Source organism: Homo sapiens, chromosome 3 (assembly GCF_000001405.40).
Source record: "Homo sapiens chromosome 3, GRCh38.p14 Primary Assembly".
Lineage (NCBI taxonomy): Eukaryota > Metazoa > Chordata > Mammalia > Primates > Hominidae > Homo > Homo sapiens.
In genome coordinates this window covers 71136706-71156131 of record NC_000003.12, presented here as the reverse complement: position 1 = coordinate 71156131, position 19426 = coordinate 71136706, and the positions used below count along the sequence as shown (strand labels likewise).

At 40.9% G+C, this 19426-nt stretch overlaps 1 protein-coding gene across 11 annotated transcripts in view, besides 1 other annotated feature; it reads left to right on the top strand.

The window, feature by feature from the left end:
• Nucleotides 1-19426, top strand: part of FOXP1 (forkhead box P1) — a 629271-nt gene that overhangs the window by 427847 nt on the left and 181998 nt on the right. The window lies entirely within an intron of this gene.
• Nucleotides 11145-11644: an enhancer, noted in NCBI's record as "H3K27ac hESC enhancer chr3:71193639-71194138 (GRCh37/hg19 assembly coordinates)". NCBI's record gives its function as "activates a minimal SCP1, AML or CMV promoter by ChIP-STARR-seq in naive H9 embryonic stem cells {active_cell/tissue: H9 hESC(naive)}" and the evidence as "EXISTENCE:reporter gene assay evidence [ECO:0000049][PMID:30033119]".

The following is a 19426-nucleotide window of genomic DNA, read 5'->3' as shown; positions in this document are numbered from 1 at the left end:
CAGTCGTTCAGCAGTCCTCCTGATTTCTCTCTCAATTAAGTGTTCATCTCTGGGCTGTGTCCTCCCTGCAGGAGAGATTGCTGTCAGACAGGCAATCAGTGAGAACCCCAACTGAGCCCTACCTCCCTTACCAAAGAAGTTCATGGCCAAGCCATTTTTATTTAGCAAATAAGGGCTTGTTTTCCTTGATTGTCCAAAGCACAAGGGGAGAAAAACCACCCATTGGCTTCATGTTTACCTGCACTGCGGGGCTGTCTTGTCTGTTTCAGTTCTGTTTCACATGTGGAGTTTTCACTGATTTCAAGAAGGAATGTATGCATGGAGTTGAGCAGGATACAGTATCCTGAATGAGGGCTGAATGTTCTGCACTAGAAGTGAGCGTATCAAGTCTTTGTAACTAAGAATGTGATGTTAGATTGTAGCTGAGGGGAAGAAACACAAATGGCTTGGGTTGTATCTAAATCCTGGGTCTGCCAGGTGAAAACTTAGATGTTGCTTTCAAATGACACTAATGATTTCTTTCAGTGCTGTTTAGCATGAGTGGTCATTGCAAAGAGCTGTGACCACTGTACTACCCAGTATGGTGGCTACTGGTCCCATGGGGCTCTTGAGCACTTGAAATATGGGTAATCTAAATGGAGATGTGGAAAATACAAACTGGATTTTAAAGACTTAGTAAACTTAGTATTTTGAAAGAGCAAAATAGCCCATTGACAATTTTATGTTGATTATACATACATTAATTTTACTTGTTATCTTTTACCATTTTTAAGTGCAGCTACTAAAAATTTAAAATTCTGTATGTTGCTTACATTATATTGCTCTTGGACAGCACTATACTAAAGGCATAAATGTAAGATTGTGTTTCAGAGGGCACCCGAGCACTGCTTGGTTTATATGTATTTTCTAGGCCTTCCCTTTGGTTCCCTGGTTACCTTTAAAAATACATGTCATGATATAGACATGGCATATCTGAGACAAACCTTGGACTGAGACAAACCTGAGTTTCAATCTCAATTGTTTGTTTGTGGCTTGCCTCTCAGCATCTTAAATTCTCTGAATCTTAAGTTCCTCCACTGTGTAAAAGAAATAATATCCCTCTGACCTCACTGTGGTTAGGCAAGAGACAATGCAGTGATTTTTTCAGTAATATTATGAGACATTTTATTACTATAATTAAATGATTGTATTTTCCCCAGATTGACAAATTCAAATTTTCTATTTTGAAATCTTATTGCAAATGTTAAAAAAACAAACAACCCACCCTTTGGCTCCTGTTATGTTGTCTTCCAGCTGCTAGTAATGGAATTGGGACAGCTAATGTTCCCTGAGAGCCATGGGGAACCAGGCAGTGTGCTTTTCAGGAACTGTCTTACTTTATCCTCACAACAATCCCAAAAGGAAAAACCTAGTTTTATCTCTATTTAATAGCTGCAGTGACTGAGGCACCGCAAGGTTAGGTGACTTGCCCAAGGTCACACAGCGAAGCATTGAGCCCGGGCAGTCCAGCTCTAGAGCCGTGTTCTTTGCCTCCGCCCAATATTGTCCACCAGTGAGGAGAAGACGGAACCAAAGAACCAACAGTGAATGAATACTAACAGGAATCCTGGCTTTCATGGACATCTATTCTTGTGATTTGACAGTGTATATGTGAGATACTTCCTCTTAGAATGCTTTTTCTAATTCATACAGTAGGCTTAAATATGTCATGGTTTTAGAGTTTTCCTTAAGGAATACGTTGATTCCCAGGCACATTACAGTCTGAATCAGTCTTAAGAAATTCCAGGATAGAGGTGGAAGAAGTTTTAGTAAATTGTTGTGCAGCATGGTGACCGCAGTTAATAATAATGTATTATATATTTCAAAATTGCTGAAAGAGGAGATTTCAAATGTTCTCACCACACCCACACACACAAAAAAATGATAAGTAGGTGAGGTGATGGATATATTAACTAGCTTAATTTAATTTTTCTCAAAATATCACATTATATTTCATAAATACATTCAATTATTATTAGTCAATTGCAAAAAAAAAGAAGAAGAAGAAGAAGAAGAATGCAAAGGGGAAAAACAAAATTCCATAGAGTTATATGAGAACAAATAGATTACACAATATCTAGACCACAATAAATGTTTGCTTTGTGTTTGAGGGCCTTGTGTCAATTGTACATAATCACTATGGACCTAGTATGCTACGTGTCATATGTGTATAGTAGGGGCCCAATAAATGTTATTCATTAATGTTTATTGCCGTACCTCTGAAAACACACCTTTAGAAAGGAAAGTATACAGTATTTACAATTTACTGTCATTTATTCCATTAGGTTGTCTGACTTGTGATGTGGAGGTGCTATCTCATCAGGTATGATTGTCTCTTAGAATAATTCCCTTTGATCAGAGTGGAGCTTTGAGTGGATTTATTTTGTTAAGCTGGAATCCACCTCTTTAGGTTAATGTGACACACCTACATACACCCCAGCAGATACAACAGGGCCATTCCATGATGTGTATCTTCAGTTGTCATTTCATGTTTAACCAAGAGGATTAGAAGGCATTGATGTATTAATAGCTTTTTTTTTTTTTTTTCTCAAGCATGGTACTAATTCTTAGGTGGGGTCAAGATGATTGCGGGGGGCAGTGGGGGCAGCCTGTGGTCAACGTTCAAAGCCTTCCAGTCATTTAGAAAGTTGAAATGTGCTTGGTGCTGGGCTAGAATCATTAGGAGGAAATAGCTGCAAACCTGGAAACGTCCCTGGAGAATACTTAATTCAGGAATAAAGGTTTGGATTGATGAGGGCTAAAATAAAACTTGGCAGCGACAGCATTCTAGTAACTTTTAGCCACTTCTCCCCATCTCACTGGGGTATTCCTGCTGGTATATTCACTAGCCTGAGCTCTGCTCCTGAGAGGGCTGCAGGAGCTGGGTGGGTTGGGAGACACAGGTGTGTGGGAGGCGCCTTCACCAAGTGCCGCACAATTGCCGGGTACCCCTCTGTGCCTTTAACTGGTCGGTAAACAGAAAGCAGGATGTGCTTATCTGAATAGTGACAACAGTTGCAAGCACTCAGTCACAAAGTTCAGCATTCTGGCTTTAGATGGACCAGCGTGGGGCTCTGGAAGCTGGTGACTTGGGAGTGCCTGCCGTACACATGGGTGGGGAAGGGATGGAAAGTTTGTCAAGGACTTGCCGAGTTATTAAGCAAAGACTCTGTAAGTGCGTCAGAATGGGAAGGCAGCTCAGAACCTTTCCACTCCACCCTTTTTGTTGTTGGAAATAGGTAAACTGAGGCCAGTGAACAGGAATGTGTATTTCAATAATACCAAAGCTAACTTCTATCACTGTGAGTTGTGTGCCAGGCCCTGGGTTCACTGCCTTCTGAGTGTTGTCTCTTTTAATCTCTGCCACAGCTCTGTGGGGTAAGCACTGGTGTTATACCCATTTTTCAGATAAGGAAACAGAGCCTCAGAGAGTCAGGTTACTTCCTCAAGGTCATAGAACTAGTAAGTCACAGACCTAGGGCACAGGAGCAGGTCTGTGTGGGGGTCAGAGCCACAGCTGTCCCCCACACGCTGGGGGCCTCCTCCACAAAGCGGTTTCAGGTGGGGCTCAGCCCACCTCTGGGGGAACCCATTCATATACTATGCAAGGTTTCACAGGTGTGTGAATTCATTTTCCATTGCTGCGTAATAAATTACCACAAACTTAATAGCTTCAAACAACACATATCTGTCATTCCACAGTTTCTGTGGAGGCCAGGCCTGGTTTTCCTGAGTTCTCTGCTCAGAGTCTCACAAATCTGTACTCAGGGGGTCAGCCTGATTATGGTCCCACCTGAGGCTTGGGATCCCCTTCCAAACTCACTAACTGTTGGTGGAATTCAATTCATGCAGGGAGAGCACTGAGGCTGCAAGCTCATGGAGACCACCCACTGTTTCCTATGTGTGGCCCTCTCCACAACACAGCCCTTTGCTTCTTCAAAACCCAACCAAAGAATCTCTGTCTTCAGGAACAGCCTCCGACCCTCTTTGAAGGGGCTCACCTAATTAGGCCAGGCCCACAGAGGAAAAGCTCTCTTTTGATTAACTCAGAGTCAACTGATTAGGGACTTTATACCTGCAAAATCTCTTTTGCCACACAGCATAACTTAATCAAAGGAATGTATTCCATCCCATTCATGGATCCTGCCCATACTCAAGGGAAGGCCATAATACAAGCATATGGTCATTAGGGGCCATCTTAGTCACTACTGTTCGTGGATTGTTCTCCAGCTTCCTGGAGGAGAGGAGAGCAGGAGACAGAGCTAAGAGTGTTTGTAAAATAGGGCAGTGGGAAAAGGTAGGTCTTGTGAGTAGCAGGCTACTTAAGATGCCTAGTGGGTCTAAATGTCAAATGCTATTGGCAGATTTTCCGTGCAAGGTATGACCAAAAAATAATTATTTCATTAACTTTGTGCAAAAAAAAAAAAAAAAATGTTTTAGACATGCATCCTCTCGACTAAAGGGAGTTCATTTTGCCAAACTACTGGACTTCACACCTGTGTCTTTCTATCTAGTGCAGAGGTGGCTATATCCCTTGCCCTTGAAATGTTCCTTCGTGTTTCTTCCCAAGTGGTTACTTTTACAAACTCCTTAATAAAAAAGAAGGAAGGGACACATTTAGTGGTCTTTGGGCAGGCAGGCAGATGAGCAGCATTCAGAATCTCTTTGTCCTGTTTCCCCACAATCATAAGTGCTCCCCCAATACAACTTTGTTCCCACATTGAACTAGGCAGTGTTCCTATTATATAAATCCTGACGCGCGTAGTGAAAGCTGCCAATTTAACTTATATGGGTGAGAGTCCGGGTCTTCGCAAAAGAAGATCAATAAAATACAGCATGAATGTCCACTCATGACGTGTACCTTGCAAGAACTTGGCTATATTAATCTCTCAAATAAGTCTGTGCTCCCAGGTAGCAGTATTCCCATTTCACAGTTGAGAAGGCTGAGACTCAGATGAGTTAAATAACTGGCTCTTTGTTACATGGTAACAAGGGGCTAAGAAGGAATTTGCACAGGTGTGGTAGGTGCTAAAGCCAGTGCTCTTAAACCAGTAAGGTAAGCAGCTGGAATATTGGCGATAATTTTCAGACTTGGAGCCTACTCTTGACCCCCATATGCCTTCCCTTTGTCTTTCCAGTATTCCAAATATCTTACAATCTAGGAAGTTGAAAGATGGGGACATGGCAACTGGCTTCACAGGGCCAGTATCCTGGGGAATACGAAAAGAGGAAAAAAGAGACCGTAACGGGGTAGACAACAAAACACCGCCATGCCACATACTTAACGTTGAACTAGAGGAAAACTCTATTACAAGCGATACTTCTAATCTGCTTGCGGTAAAGATTCATAACTGGAAAATAAGCATGTGACAGTTCTGCATTTGAGTGTAAACTTAACTCATTAATTTAAATTAGAGTGCTTTTTTTTAACAAAGGGGAAATTCTAGTAATAATAATAAGTAATGGCTGTTGTAGAGAATGTAAAAAGATGTTAGAAATTTGTGCTTTGGGAAGTTGGAGGGTGTTAAGGATTAATTTTCACTCACAGAGATCAAAAAGGTCTCGATGAGTAAGATAAGTATCGAGTTTCAGGGTTGTTGTGTTTTTTTCACCTCCTGCCAGACTGTCTGAAACTTATCTCAAGTATCATGGTAAAAAGAGAAGTGGCGGATAGACACAAAAATGTAATAGATATATTCTAGGGGTAGAATATGAACTGCCTTTCTAAATGCATATCAGAAGGAGAATTTATTCCAGTTGAGTAGGTTTAATGATATAATTTTACCATATTAAACCATAATTGCTCTTTAAAGGAAAATAGAGATGCATGCATTGCCACTGCCAGGGCATCCCACTCCATCCAAATAGCATCCTCCCTAGTACTCGTTGATTTCGCCCTTATCTCACAGCAGAGCCGATTTGTGGCTTTCCTTTGGAAATTGGGTGGGGAGAGAGGAAAAGAAGGAAGAATAGTCTGAGCATCAGAATCTGCGTCAAGCAATTGCCATGGCTTTAGCAAAATCATTTCCTGCTATTAGACTGCCAACCAAACACTTCCAAATGGATTGCAGCTCTGATTTTTGTGGAACCAAATTATTTTTCAAAATTAGACTGTGTATCAAGATGATCCAGATACCTGGATTAGTCAGGGACTAAAATATTTGCATTGTTATGGATGTTGATAATTATTTTAGTAAATTCTCATGGCTGCTTTTATTGCTAAATGATTTCCAATCCTGTCGCATTCCCTTCTCTCCTTCCCACCAAGAATAAGAAAAGGGAGAGGAGAGAATGAAAGAGAAGAATGAAAACATGCATTGATTGCATATATGGATGAAAACAGAGTTGAAGTCATGCATTTAGTTTTAACAGAATCTGATTTTACATCACGAGCTGAATTAGATGGAGGCATAATTCATCTATGTATTTATCGGCTATACCTTCCATATCTGTCTTTTTTTAATAGCAAACAAAATAATACTGAGCTTATTTGACTGATAAAAGGCATAAATGTAGTTTTAAAAAATATTTTTATATCTTTCTAAAAAATACTTGATACATAAAAAAGAATATGCCGTATTTCATTGGGCCTTCTGTAGGCCCTTTATCTTATAAACCAGTAATAAAGTAAAAATGCAGCCAAGCTAGTTAGCACATAATGCTTTCTTATCCCATGTCTTTTAAGAGGCATCCCAATTTTAGAGATGTTAAAATGGAAAGAAAAAAACAATGTACTTTAGACTCTATTAAATACAATATACAATGTGCTGGTGAATTATAAAGCATAATGTAAGAAACATTTATGAATACCCTGCCTCTCAATCCAAGAACTGTTCATTACTTATAACTTGCCTTTCCTCCCATAGCCCACGCAGACAGGCAACCCTTCTGCCTGTTATTGCTTTACTTCTTAAACGTACTTAAACTCTCTTTCCCACTACACTCAGAATGCCCCAAGAGTAGAGGCTGTCTGTGTTCTCTTCTACTTTGTCTTCAGCGCCTGACACAGAACCTGGCCTAATAATTGCAGAAGAACTATTATTGACTAACTGTACAAGCACGTTGTCTGAGGCCTATCCAAATTGTCTTTACCCTTCAAGCTCTGGTTTAAACACCAGTTCCTCTAGGAAATCTTTGACATCCTGAACTGGAAGTGCCCTTGCCTCCTTTTTGAACTCATGTAGCAATTTATCTTTACTCCTAGTACTATAGATATACCACCTTCTCTTTTGAGTAGAGTGCTTCACCCATGTCTGCCTTCCTGCTGGACTGGAAAAGCAGGATTTCCATTTGCTCTAGTTTGGTGACCCTCCCATTACCTGGCATAATAATAAAAGATAACCATAGATTCAATGGTGCTTTATATGTATTCTCACCAAATTGTCATAAATTAAGGACAGTTCTATATTCCCATTTAACAGATAAATAAACTGAGGCTAGTGCTCATAATCACTTAAGCAATAAGTATATGTCAAAGGAAGAAGACAGTAATGCATTTAAATTACTTTGCCTTAGTATGCTTCAGTTTTTGCCTGTCATTCAGGGGCCTATGCTTATTCTTGGGTATGAGACTCAAAAATAAATGAGAAAAAATGTAATAAAAACAAATCAGTAAAACAAATGCAAGTTTTCTTTAAGAGTGAGATTGAATAACCTTTTAAAAATGTTTGAGACTTTTTGTTGTTGTTATTATTAGTTTTTTTTTTATTTTTGAGACCGAGTCTCGTTCTGTTGCCCAGGCTGGAGTGCAATGAATGGCATGATCTCTGCTCACTGCAACCTCCGCCTCCCGGGTTCAAGTGATTCTCTTGCCTCAGCCTCCTGAGTATCTGGGATTACAGGTGCCTGTCACCATGCCCGGCTAATTTTTGTACTTTTAATAGAGACAAGGTTTCGCCATGTTGGCCAGGCTGGTCTCGAACTCCTGACCTCAGGTGATCTGCCTGCCTCGGCCTCCCAAAGTGCTGGGATTACAGGCGTGAGCCACCGTGCCTGGCCGACATTTGTATTTTCATATTATCTGGCTAATTTTCTATTGGATTTTATTTATTTCCATATTGATTTATGCGATTTTTATGAACCATAAAAATTATAATTTCTTTCTAGGTTCTGACACGCAAATATTTCTCTAGTGTTTTGGCGATCTTTTGTCTTTGCTATGCTGTTTTAGACATATTCAGTTTTAACATAATTCTATTTATCAAGTGTTTTCTTTATGGTTCCTAAATTTTTCGTAATTACATTTGAAAATGCATTCCCACTTCTGAGATGACGAGAATTTTTTTTTTACTATTTTAAAAATAAATGCCGATAAGGCTAGGATCTTGGAAGCACCTCCCTACCTTGGTATGATCATTTATTCATTTGGTTGTTGATATAACCAAGACATTGATTTAGCCATTGTTGTAGACAGAGATGAACCTGACTAGAAAATTTTCAGGGCAGTTTTCAATCCAGTAGAGAGAGATAAATTTCACACTTATTTGTAAATCAATAAGCATAATATTTTTAGATGGTGGAATTGCTGAGAGGACAGTGGAACAGAATGATGGGGGGCATTAATGGTGGAGAGGATGTTACCTCTGAGGTGATAAGATCAGCTAACATCTTCGGGTTCCAGCTGTGTTGAGATATAAGTAATAGTGTGTATGGCGGAAGAACAGCCCTGAGAGGGAAGGGGATCATGAAGATGGCTGGAGCAGCAAGACCATGGCAGTTGTAAAGGTGATATGAGATGAAGGTAGACAGGAAGGTGTGGACAAGACCCCATCTTTGAAAGGCAGGCTTTGGAATGTGGCTTTGATCCTGAGCACAAAATCTTTTGCAACAAAATGACCTGATGTGCATTTTCAAAAGATTCCTCTGGCTGCTATGCAGGGAAGAGATTATAGGGGGCAAGAAGGGAAGCAAAGAGAGGGTTGTGTAGGAAAATTGTGCCTACTTGGTGCAGACCCAGAATATAGTCAGTAGATCCAAGGTTAAACTAAGACTTCTCCAAGTTAGAGGTAGGGCACAGATGCTGGCTGAAACGCCAGGTAATTTAGGCATCCAGAGTAAATGCTAGTTTGAACTTGGAGCACGAGGGGCTTTGTGTGGGGGACCATTCAAAGGCAAGCTGGACAGGTGGTAACCTTGCTCACTGGGCGCCAGCAAGTAGAGCAGCGCTCGCTGGTGATGGATGGCTTAACATTGTTCCCCGCGCTGTGCTCAGAGCCGGGAGGAGGGCACAGCCCCTGGGGACTAGGAGGAGTCTCCAGGCTTTCCTTGCACTTTGTCTTCCGCTTAGTGTTTCAGCCAAGATATTAATTCTATGTTCTAGCCATGTTGCTGCCTCAGAGTCTCACTATTGTTAGTTATGCTCTCGTTCACAGTCCTAGTGTTGATATTTTTACACGTTTTAAACTCAAAAGTATCTGAATTTCGGAGACAATGAGACAATTAGAGTAGTTTGTAAAGTATAGTGAAGGTTTTTAAAAGAAGTGAGTGTGTGACTGCTACATGCAATTTATTATTATAATCCTCTCTTTTGTGAAGGTCCACAAACATTTTTTGTTCAATCAGATTTTTATTTTTTATTTTTTATTTTTTTGCTCTTCATTGTATAATGTATTCTTCCCCCTTAACTTCCCCCAATCTCAGGAGACAACAGTATTTCCCTTGAAAATACAGAGGGTGGATTGGCCCTGTGTGTGTGTTTTCCAAGTGCTGGCTTTCCAAGACATTCTCATGAAAAGGACTGGTATTGCTAAGTCATTTTTTAATATAAGGAGGTCCATGTTTGGGCATTGAAATTAATTTTCCTTATCTTGCCATACAAATAGCCACCCTGGCTTCTTTGATTTATTACCTGGGATGGTTCAGCAGCACTAAAAACAGAGGACGGGAAGACATCACCTTTACGTGGCATCATTAGTCACAGCATTAAAAGCATCACCCTGAAGGGACTGCTTCTCCCAGTCTTCCCTGTGCCATGACAGCATCCTGTTTGTTCCCTCTCTGTGCACTCAAGACGCTGGGCCCATCCACAGCTTCCGGGTTGCATTTTTCATTTCCTAGTAAGTTGCTGCTATCCAACATCCTTTCTGTCTTTTCTCCATAGCATAGTGTAAAAGAACTTTCAAAAGTGCAGATACAATCCCTGATTAAAGACAAGCTACTGACTGTAAGAAAATGTTTTAAAATCATTTCTCCAGCAAGGGACTCGTGTACAGAATATATAAAGAACCTTCCAAACTCTATAATACAAAACAAACATACTCAGTTTAAAAAGAGGCAAGAGACTTGACCAAAAATAAGCACATGAAAAGTCATTCCACATCATTAGACATTAGGGAAATGCAACTTAAAATTATAGGGAAAGGGAAAAAAATAGGATGCGATACCACTATACACCTATGAAAATGGCTAAAATAATTACTGGTAATTCTAAGTGAGGGTGAAGATGTGGAGCAAGTGAACTCTCATGCATTGCCGGTGGGAATATAAAGTGATGCTGCCACCTTGGAAAACAGCTGGGCAGTTTTTTTTGTTTTGTTTTGTTTTTGTTTTTTTGAGATGGAGTCTCGCTCTTTCACCCAGGCTGGAGTGCAGTGGTACGATCTCAGCTCATTGCAACCTCTGCCCTCCGGTTCAAGCGATTCTTCTGCCTCAGCCTCAGCCTCCCTAGTAGCTGGGATTACAGGCATGTGCCACCACGCCCAGCTAATTTTTGTGTTATTAGTAGAGACAGGGCTTCACTATGTTGGCCAGGCTGGTCTCTAACTCCTGACCTCAGGTGATCCACCTGCCTTGACCTCCCAAAGTCCTGGGATTACAGGTGTGAGCCACCACGCCCAGCCTGGGCAGTTTCTTTAAAAAAAATAAATAAATAAAAATAAACATACAGTTACTCATACTCTTGTATATGTATTGAAGAGAAGTGAGGACGTATGTTCACACAAAAACCTATAGGCTAAGGTTTGTGGAAGCTGTATTTATAGTTGCCCCAAGCTGGAAACAACCTGGACATGCTTCACTGGGCATGTGCGTAAGCAGACTGTGGCACCTCCGTACAATGGAATCCTACTCTGCAAGAATAAGGGATGAACTCTTAACAGACCCACAGCTTAGAATGGTCTCAGAGGTATTAAGTCAAAAAAAGCCAATCTCCAAAGATTACACACTATATGATTCCATTTATATGCCATTTCAGAAAAGACAAAACAGTGATAGAGACTCCATCAGTGGTTGCCCGGGGCCAGGGGTGGTGAGGAGGGTGTGATTACAACAGGTTGGCACAAGGGAGTTTGGGGGGTGGTGGAGGCCTTCTGTATCCCGACTGTGCTGGTGATTATACACATCCATGCATGTGAGGAGACTCATACTCTGTACCCCCCTGCCAAAAATCAATGTGTCAGTCCAAACTGCTGCACATGCTCTACACAGCCCAGCCTATCTCTTGTGATTCATCCAGTTCCTTCTCAGCCTCCTCGCCCGTTCTGTCAGGTCCCGAACACTTGTGGTCATTTTTATTTTCTAGCAGGGCACAATCACGCTCAGCCTTTTGCCCAAGAACCTCTCCTGCCCACTTTTCTGCCAACCCATCTTACCTGCCGAATGAGATGCTTTCTTTACAGCTCAGGTGTGGAGACTCTAGCACACGCACTGGGACCTCTGAACAACACCCAGTCTTGGACATTTCTTGCTCCTGTCAGGGTTCCCAGGGCACCACTCTCATTGCCTGGTTCTTTGGCTGCCTTGCATGCTGGGTTGTAGGTTTGGGAAGAGCTGATTCCACTGCTCATTCTCCAGCCCTGAGAAAGAGGCCACAGAGAGTTCAGTACATACACTAGTGAGGATGAGAGGTCTCTGCTCCGGAGGTGGACTCAGCCTTTGTCTGGTTTTACTTTTGCCTTCTTTTTCTGAGTGCTTTTATCTCTGACCCTCTTGCTGAAATTTCTTACCTTTCATGGCTCTTTTAGCAGGGGAATCGTCTTTGCTGGTTTTGCCCAAACTACTTCTTAAAAAGCAGTAAGCCAAAGTTTTAAGACTTGTATACTTTTTTTTTTCCTATTCATGTAAAAGTAAAATTATGTGGCAAAAATCATGAGTATAGAAGGGTTTTCTTTTTCATCAGAGGTTAGATGGGTTTTATAGTGCGACGTGAAAAGTCATTAGTAAAAGCCGTATTATAAACATATTTTTATATATTTACTTAGCCCCATCTTCCAAATTCCCTTGGAGGGACAACAGATTTTCTGGAAAATAAAAATCAGCTCCTATTCATAGCAGTGGTAAAAGTAATCGTCGTAACACTTACATGGTGCTTATGAAGTGCTGGACACTCTCTTAACATGTACTTTATGCATTTTATTTTATTTTTTGTAGAGATGGGGTCTTGCAATGTTGCCCAGGGTGGCCTCTAACTCCTGGGCTCAAGCGATCCTCCCATCTCAGCCTCCCAAAGCACTGGAATTACATATGTGAGCCACTGTGCCCAGCCTAATTTATGTATTTTAAATGACTTACTCCTCACAACAGCCTTAGGAGGTGGTGTCATTATTATTTCCATTTTACATATGAGGAAACTGTGGTGCAGTGTGGTTCGATCACTGCCTAAGGTCAGGAGTGAAGCTAGGATTCAAATGCAGGCCTCTGGCTTCATCTTCCAGAAGACTGTGCAACAAAGAGGGGAAGGAAGATGAGAGACAGGGTTTTCCTCACCAGGGACCTCATGCTGACCTCCTTTCACTTTTTCCCAGGGAGGTATCCCCACATCCCTTGCATGGTCTGCCAAGAAGATCCACAATAGCTTAAAATGCTTCTTCTCTTTTCTAGCCAAGGACAATTCCGTATTTGTGTCCTGATCATTATTAGAATAAGTAATCAAAATAATTAGAAAAGGAAGCTAAAAATGAAAATGGTCCAGGAAAGAATATAAAATAACTTGGATTGTGCTTTTCAACTTTCAAACTGTTTTCACTTAGTGTTTTCCCAAGACGTCCCTCACCACCACCCATTGTTATTGCCAACTTTTTGCAGATGAGGAAAGTGAGGCCCAGAGAGGAGAAGCGATTGCTCCCCTGGGTCACCATGTCGTTCCTTGTGGGACCAGTATGCAAGCCCTGCCCTGCCCTGCCCTGCCCTGCCCTTTCTTTCCTGCCCCCTTATCTCTCTTCCCACCTCCCTCCCATCTGAGTTCTTACTCATTAAGAGAAACTCTTTTATAAACTTTAGATGCAAGCAGTGTGATTTCATCTCTTTTTCTGCGTGTGTTAGTTTTTTGTTGTTGCATAACAAATTGCCACAAATTAGCTCATAGTTCTGTAGGTCAGAAGCCCAGGTGCACTGTTAATGGAGTCTCTCCTCAGAGAATAGGGAGGCAAGTGGAAGCTGCACTGATTCCTCGTCAAGAGGCTCCGGGAAAGAATCTGCTCCTAAGCTCATCCAGGATGTTGGTAGAATCCATTTCCTTCTGGCTGTAGGACTGAGGTCCCTGCTTCCTTGCTGGCTGTCAGCCTGCAGCTGCTCTCAGCATCTAGAGTCTACCCACATTTCTTGCCATATGGTCTCTTCCATCGTGAAGCCAGTAGGGGCACATCAGTCTTTCTTGTGCTTCAGAATCTGACTTCCTCTATCTCTGGGCTCTAAACTCCAATTGAAAGGGTTCATGTGATTCCATCAGGCCCACTCAGATAATCTCCCTTTCTTCAAGTCAGCTGATTTGGGACCTTAATTACATCCACAAAACCCCTTCACATAGCACCTGGATTAGTGCACGATTGACTCTCTGGGAAGGGGTGTGTTATACCAGGCATAGGAATGTAAGGGTCACCTGAGAATTCTGCCAACCACATGACATTACAACCTTAAAAATGGTACACATTGACAGGACCAAGGGCCACCTCCAAGGTATTTGTTTTCTGTGGTAATTATATCAATTCCTTAATGTTTTTACAGGTTTTTTTTTTTGTTTGTCAACATGACACATTTTGTATTTATTAAGTCATTTGATTGAAAGCATATTTGTAATCTGTGTACTTCTGTTTACCTTAAAAGGGTTGAAGAAGAATGAAGTAGACATAGGATTAGTTGAACAACACAATTCTGTTTCACTAACGATTCAATAAGTTAATTTCTTAAGCACTGTTTCATGCTTTCTTTTCAGCCTCTGTGCTCCATCTTCTTGAACCTTCTTTCTGCTCCTTGGCTATTTGATTTCTTCTTTACTTGTGGGTTTCCAATTAAATGTCACCTCTTCGTGGATGAATTCCTTGATGGACTTATCTAGAGTAGGTTAAAAATGAGAAGTTAAGTTTTTCTTTTTTTTAATGAAGGCTGAGGCTTCCTTCACAGTGGCTCTAATTATTTCTGGATTTGTTGATTGCTGATGTCTTACTCTATCTCCTGCTAGACTGTAGTATCAGAAAGGGAAGGGCCAGGTCTGTCTTGTTCTCCCTCCTAGGCCCAGTGCCTAGACTGTGCTTAGTACAAAGTAGTCACCAAAAATTATGTGTTTAATTGGTGTGTAAATAGAAGCTAATGTTCTGGTGCCTGTAGAACGGTTAACTTTAACATTTGTTTTGAAAGGTTGCCTGAGTAGTGAAACCGAGTTAATCATGAGGTCACTGCTTAAGCGTTTATTGTTTGAAAAGCACCTGATTGACAGTCACAAAGCTCTTAAAAGTGGGGGAGGGGACTCTACAAATGGTAGAGCCAAAGAAGAATGATTTTTGTGTCGTCCTTGAAAACATGCAGTGTCACTGGAAAGGAGGCGTGTGATGAGTTTTTCAAGTCATGGACAGTCTGATGTTTGGATCACAGTTTCTTTTTTTTTTTTTTTTTTTTGAGACAGAGTCTTGCTCTGTCACCAGGCTGGAATGCGGTGGTGCCATCTTGGCTCACTGCAACCTCCACCTTCCGGGTTCAACTGATTGTCCTGCCTCAGCCTCCCTAGTAGCTGGAACTACAGGCGCCTGCCACCACGCCTGGCTAATTTTTTGTAATTTTAGTAAAGATGGGGTTTCATCGAGTTAGCCAGGATGGTCTCTATCTCTTGACCTCGTGATCCACCCACCTTGGCCTCCCAGAGTGCTGGGATTACAGGCATGAACCACCACGCCCAGCCTGGATCACAGTTTCTTGGCAATTTTTTTTTTTTTTCTTGGAGACCAAGTCTTACTATGTTGCCTGTGCTGGCCTCAAACTTCTGAGCTCAAGAGATCCTCCCACCTTGGCCTCCTGAATAGCTAGGACTACGGTTGCCCCATGCCTGGCTTCTTGACACATTTTTTTAACATCCCAAGACAGATGCCTCTCCTTTCTCAAAGTCCTCTTTCGAAAAGTTCCTCTCTCTGATTTTCCCTTAAGCTTCACCTCCAGACAGTCACAGTATTTGGATACCTACTTAGAAGCTGTGTGACATTGGGCAAGATAGTCAACCACTCTGAGCTTTGTTTTCCTTCCCTGTAAAATAGGCATGATAATTCCCACCTTGAAAAGTCATTGGAAGGATAGCGAATACAAATGCCTGACATAAAGTGAGATTGATAAATGCTGTTTTCACAATTATTAGACTATATTATTTTAACTATGACTGCAAATCTGGTGTGGAATTGAAATGCTCATCTTAACAACAGAGCTTTTGGAAGTTGCAGGTTGAAATCCCTAACAGGAAAATCCAAAACCAGAAGTACTTCAAAATCTGAGACTTCTTGAGTGCCACCATGATACCACAAGCGAAAAATTCCACACCTGACCTCATGTGATGGGTCTCAGTCATAAATGCGATCAAATCTTTGTTTCTTGCCCCAAATTATCAAAAGTCTTGTATCAGATTGTCTTCAGGCTTTGTGTATAAGGTGTATATGAAACATAAATGGATGTCATGCTGAGACTTGGGTCCCATCTCTAAGATATCTTACCATGTGTATGCAGATATTCCAAGATCCTAAAAAATCTGAAATCATTGATCCCAATCATTTTGGATAAGGAGTACTCAACCTTAAAAAAAGTTACAGTAGATTTTAGGATCAATGGAGAAGATATTCTATGTAACAGATTTTTATTATCATATATTAAGTGAGGACTACTTTGTTTAAAATCTTTAGACTGAAATAAACACGTTCTGCATACAACCACCGTGAACACAATTTGTCTTTTTTTAAATTCAGAGGCACTTAGGAACCTTGTAGTGCCCCTGGGTTTTATTATGAACTCCAGTTAGCATTTTATTGTGGCTGCCTAGAAGTATTGATTCATATCCAGTCCGGAAAGCAACTTCTACCTGTTCACCTTTTCCCATTCCTTAACACATAATAGCGAAAGAGTCTGTTTCAGTAAATGCAGACTGGCTTGCCTGTGCCCAGCCCTGTCTCCACTTGGTTGGCTTCCTTGGGATGAGGACTCTCCTGCCCTGGCTTGTGCTGGGAAGTAATAGAACCAAAGCAGTGACATCCATAGAGCCGAGGAACAGAAGTCAGTGGGGCTTGAAAGAGTTCATTTCCCATAAAGTATCCAAAGTTGTTCAAAGTCGGTCAAGCTGTCATCACATTTCAGATGAGACTATTTTAGGGAGTAACAAGGGCAGAGTAGATCAATTAACGTTTCTTTTTTTTTTTTTAATCACTCTACATTCAATGAATGTTCAAGGCAGGTTAAACACTAATAGCAAATGTGGTGATGGAAGAATTGAGGCAGCTTCTGTTGTAGTATTTACTGTGGTTATCATTTCTATACCTAAAGCTGCATTCCTATCTTCTCATTTATTTTGCCTCCCTTTTAATTCACTGAGTTTGATTTAGAGAAGTCAGTGCATTGTATTACAGTGCCATTATGAGTCTGAATTTCTGATTTAATTCAGACAGTGTGAGCCCAGAACAGAGGACCAGGAGATTCTGCGTTACCCCAATTAGCCCGGGAAAGCTTAGACAACTGGCTCCGTATCTCTATGTATGCCCCAATTTCCCCTCCTGTAAAATGGAGCTATTTACTTATCTCAGGATTGTAATCATAAAAGAAAATTTCCTGTAGATGTGAAACAAATTTTAAATAGCATGCAGATACTTGCATTTGTATTTTTATTTTAACCCAAATTAACATGCGAAACCAGGATGCCGTTTTCAGAGTTGTTGGCATCCGTTCATCATATTTCTAGGTGAAGTATGTGTAAGTGATTATAGGTAATAAATATCTTTTTTTTTTTTAACTTATTGCAGAGGCAGTTTTTCCACTGTTAATGAGGGTAATTTGACTTGGTTGAAGGATTGCAGTTCTTAAGAATTAATGCAGTAATCCAATTCAAAGATTTAAAGAGATCTAAGATTTTTCACAGGTCGCGTGCCAGTGAATGTGCTCCTATCACATAGCAGCTAATGGACTTGAACGCCAGTCTGTCATTTACTGTTCCCTCACTGCATAGCAGCTTTGCCCTTGGTAGTGAGTATACTTTCCAAGCATTGCAGGTTATTTAGAAGTGTGGTATATTTGTATCACTTTTGAGAGATAGTATCCTATTTCCCACAGCCCCTAATTACTATAAAAACTGGGGTTATCTTTCTTAATTACATGTTTGAATCCTAATCTGCTAAGGTCTGAGGAATATCAGGCTCAGAGGAGCTGCCTTCTCGCCTTTCTTTTTCAGAGGAGGGCCTTTTATTTTTTTTAATGTATTTTTAAAAACTAATTCATGTATCATTGTATTCGTACATATAGGTTAATTCACGTGAATACAAAGGTTACATGCACTGTATTCATGACTTTCCATTTTTGATAATGATGTATTATTAACAGCTAACAATATTTTGTAAAGGCTTATTTATAAAGGATGTTGGAAGTGTTCTTATTTCCCGATCCCATTACGTTCCTAAATATTAAAAATCCCATTTTGAGGCAATTAGAAGCATTCGCTTCTTCCTCCACGTGTGTTCTCCAGACAGCGTCACCATTCTGCGCACACAGGAACCTTTGTTCCTTAATTAGAAAAAGGACTAGAGCTCATTAGTTGTGGTTCCTTGTGGTGTCTGCTCAAACACTCAGGCAATAATACATTACAAGGAGAGATCCAGCCTAAATCTGAGAGGCTCTCCACAGTTCCAAGAACTGTGAAAAGATAAATATATCTTGGAGGGTCCTTGTAAGGCCGTTCTCACATCCTGCACTGTCCTTGAGGGCCTGGCTGGTGGGTGCTCATCAGTTTTAAAGTCAAAGAGATTTCTGTATTCACAGGAGGAGGGAAGGGGAGAAGGCACAACTTGTATAGAAATCTAGAACTTTACCTTTATTGAAAGCCCATGGTCTTGCACCAAAAAAAAAAAATAATAATAAATAAATAAATAAATAGAATTATCTTTTGGATTTTTTGGTAGGTTAGTGGGCACCATCCAGATGCATTCGGATGTTATTGAAGGTGGGCGAATTGTTGACAAACATGATAGAAGACCAGATACCTTAGGCTGATTTTCACTGCTGGCATTGGACATCGGAGGAGCTGCATGAGCTTTGAAAGCTAAAACTCCCAAACTGGAGCCACAAAAGCTTTAGGCTGCATCAGTTATCAACAAAGAGCCCTGATTTCCACAATCAGAACAGGCATTTCTCCAGCCTCCAGGAAACCTCATGCATCTAATGTTCCCCAAAATATTAATAGTACAAATGGTGGACCCATCTCACTGGTTAAGATTAAGCTTCCCGCAGCAGAGAAGTGAGCAAGTGAAGTGAAAAATCTCAGACCGTATGGAGGATGTTTTGCTGTGCCTTGGCTGGGCTGGCGAGGATGTTTTGCTGTGCCTTGGCTGGGCTGGCAAGGATGTGCTGAAATATAAAGGGATATGGAGAAGAGAGCAAAGTGTCAGTTTGAAAGCCAGAGATTGGAAAATAGAGCAGTTATTTTGAGGGTCAATTCACTTCTCTTTGAGAAGGTTTATCCAGTCAGGTAGCTAACACCCTGGAAGGAAAAGAACTCAGAGGCCGCTAGGCGTGTCTGAGATACTCTCCCACCACCCACTACACTAACCCCCTCCTCATATCTTGCCTTCTCTTTCCATCCCTGCCAAAGGATAAATTGCCCTCATCCTGCTAATGCTAATGGAAGACATTATTAACAAAAGGGAGTGCTTCATAAAGGAAGCTGAGATCTGGCAAGTGGAGGCATGACATCCTTATGCTGATAGTGGTACAGGTCAGAAATAGTGAATATGGAAACAAATATTTCACTGAAATGTTCTGCCATTTAAAGGGACATGTCTAGATAGCCATGTACATATATACTTTTTTCCACCAGTAATCTTTTTTTTTTGTTGTATTTCTCAGAGAAAGAAAAATAGATTTTAAAATGTAAAAACCTGTTCTTCAATTGCGTATGCAAAAATCTCACTGCAGTGTTTATTCTAAACCTGCTCTCATAATGTTC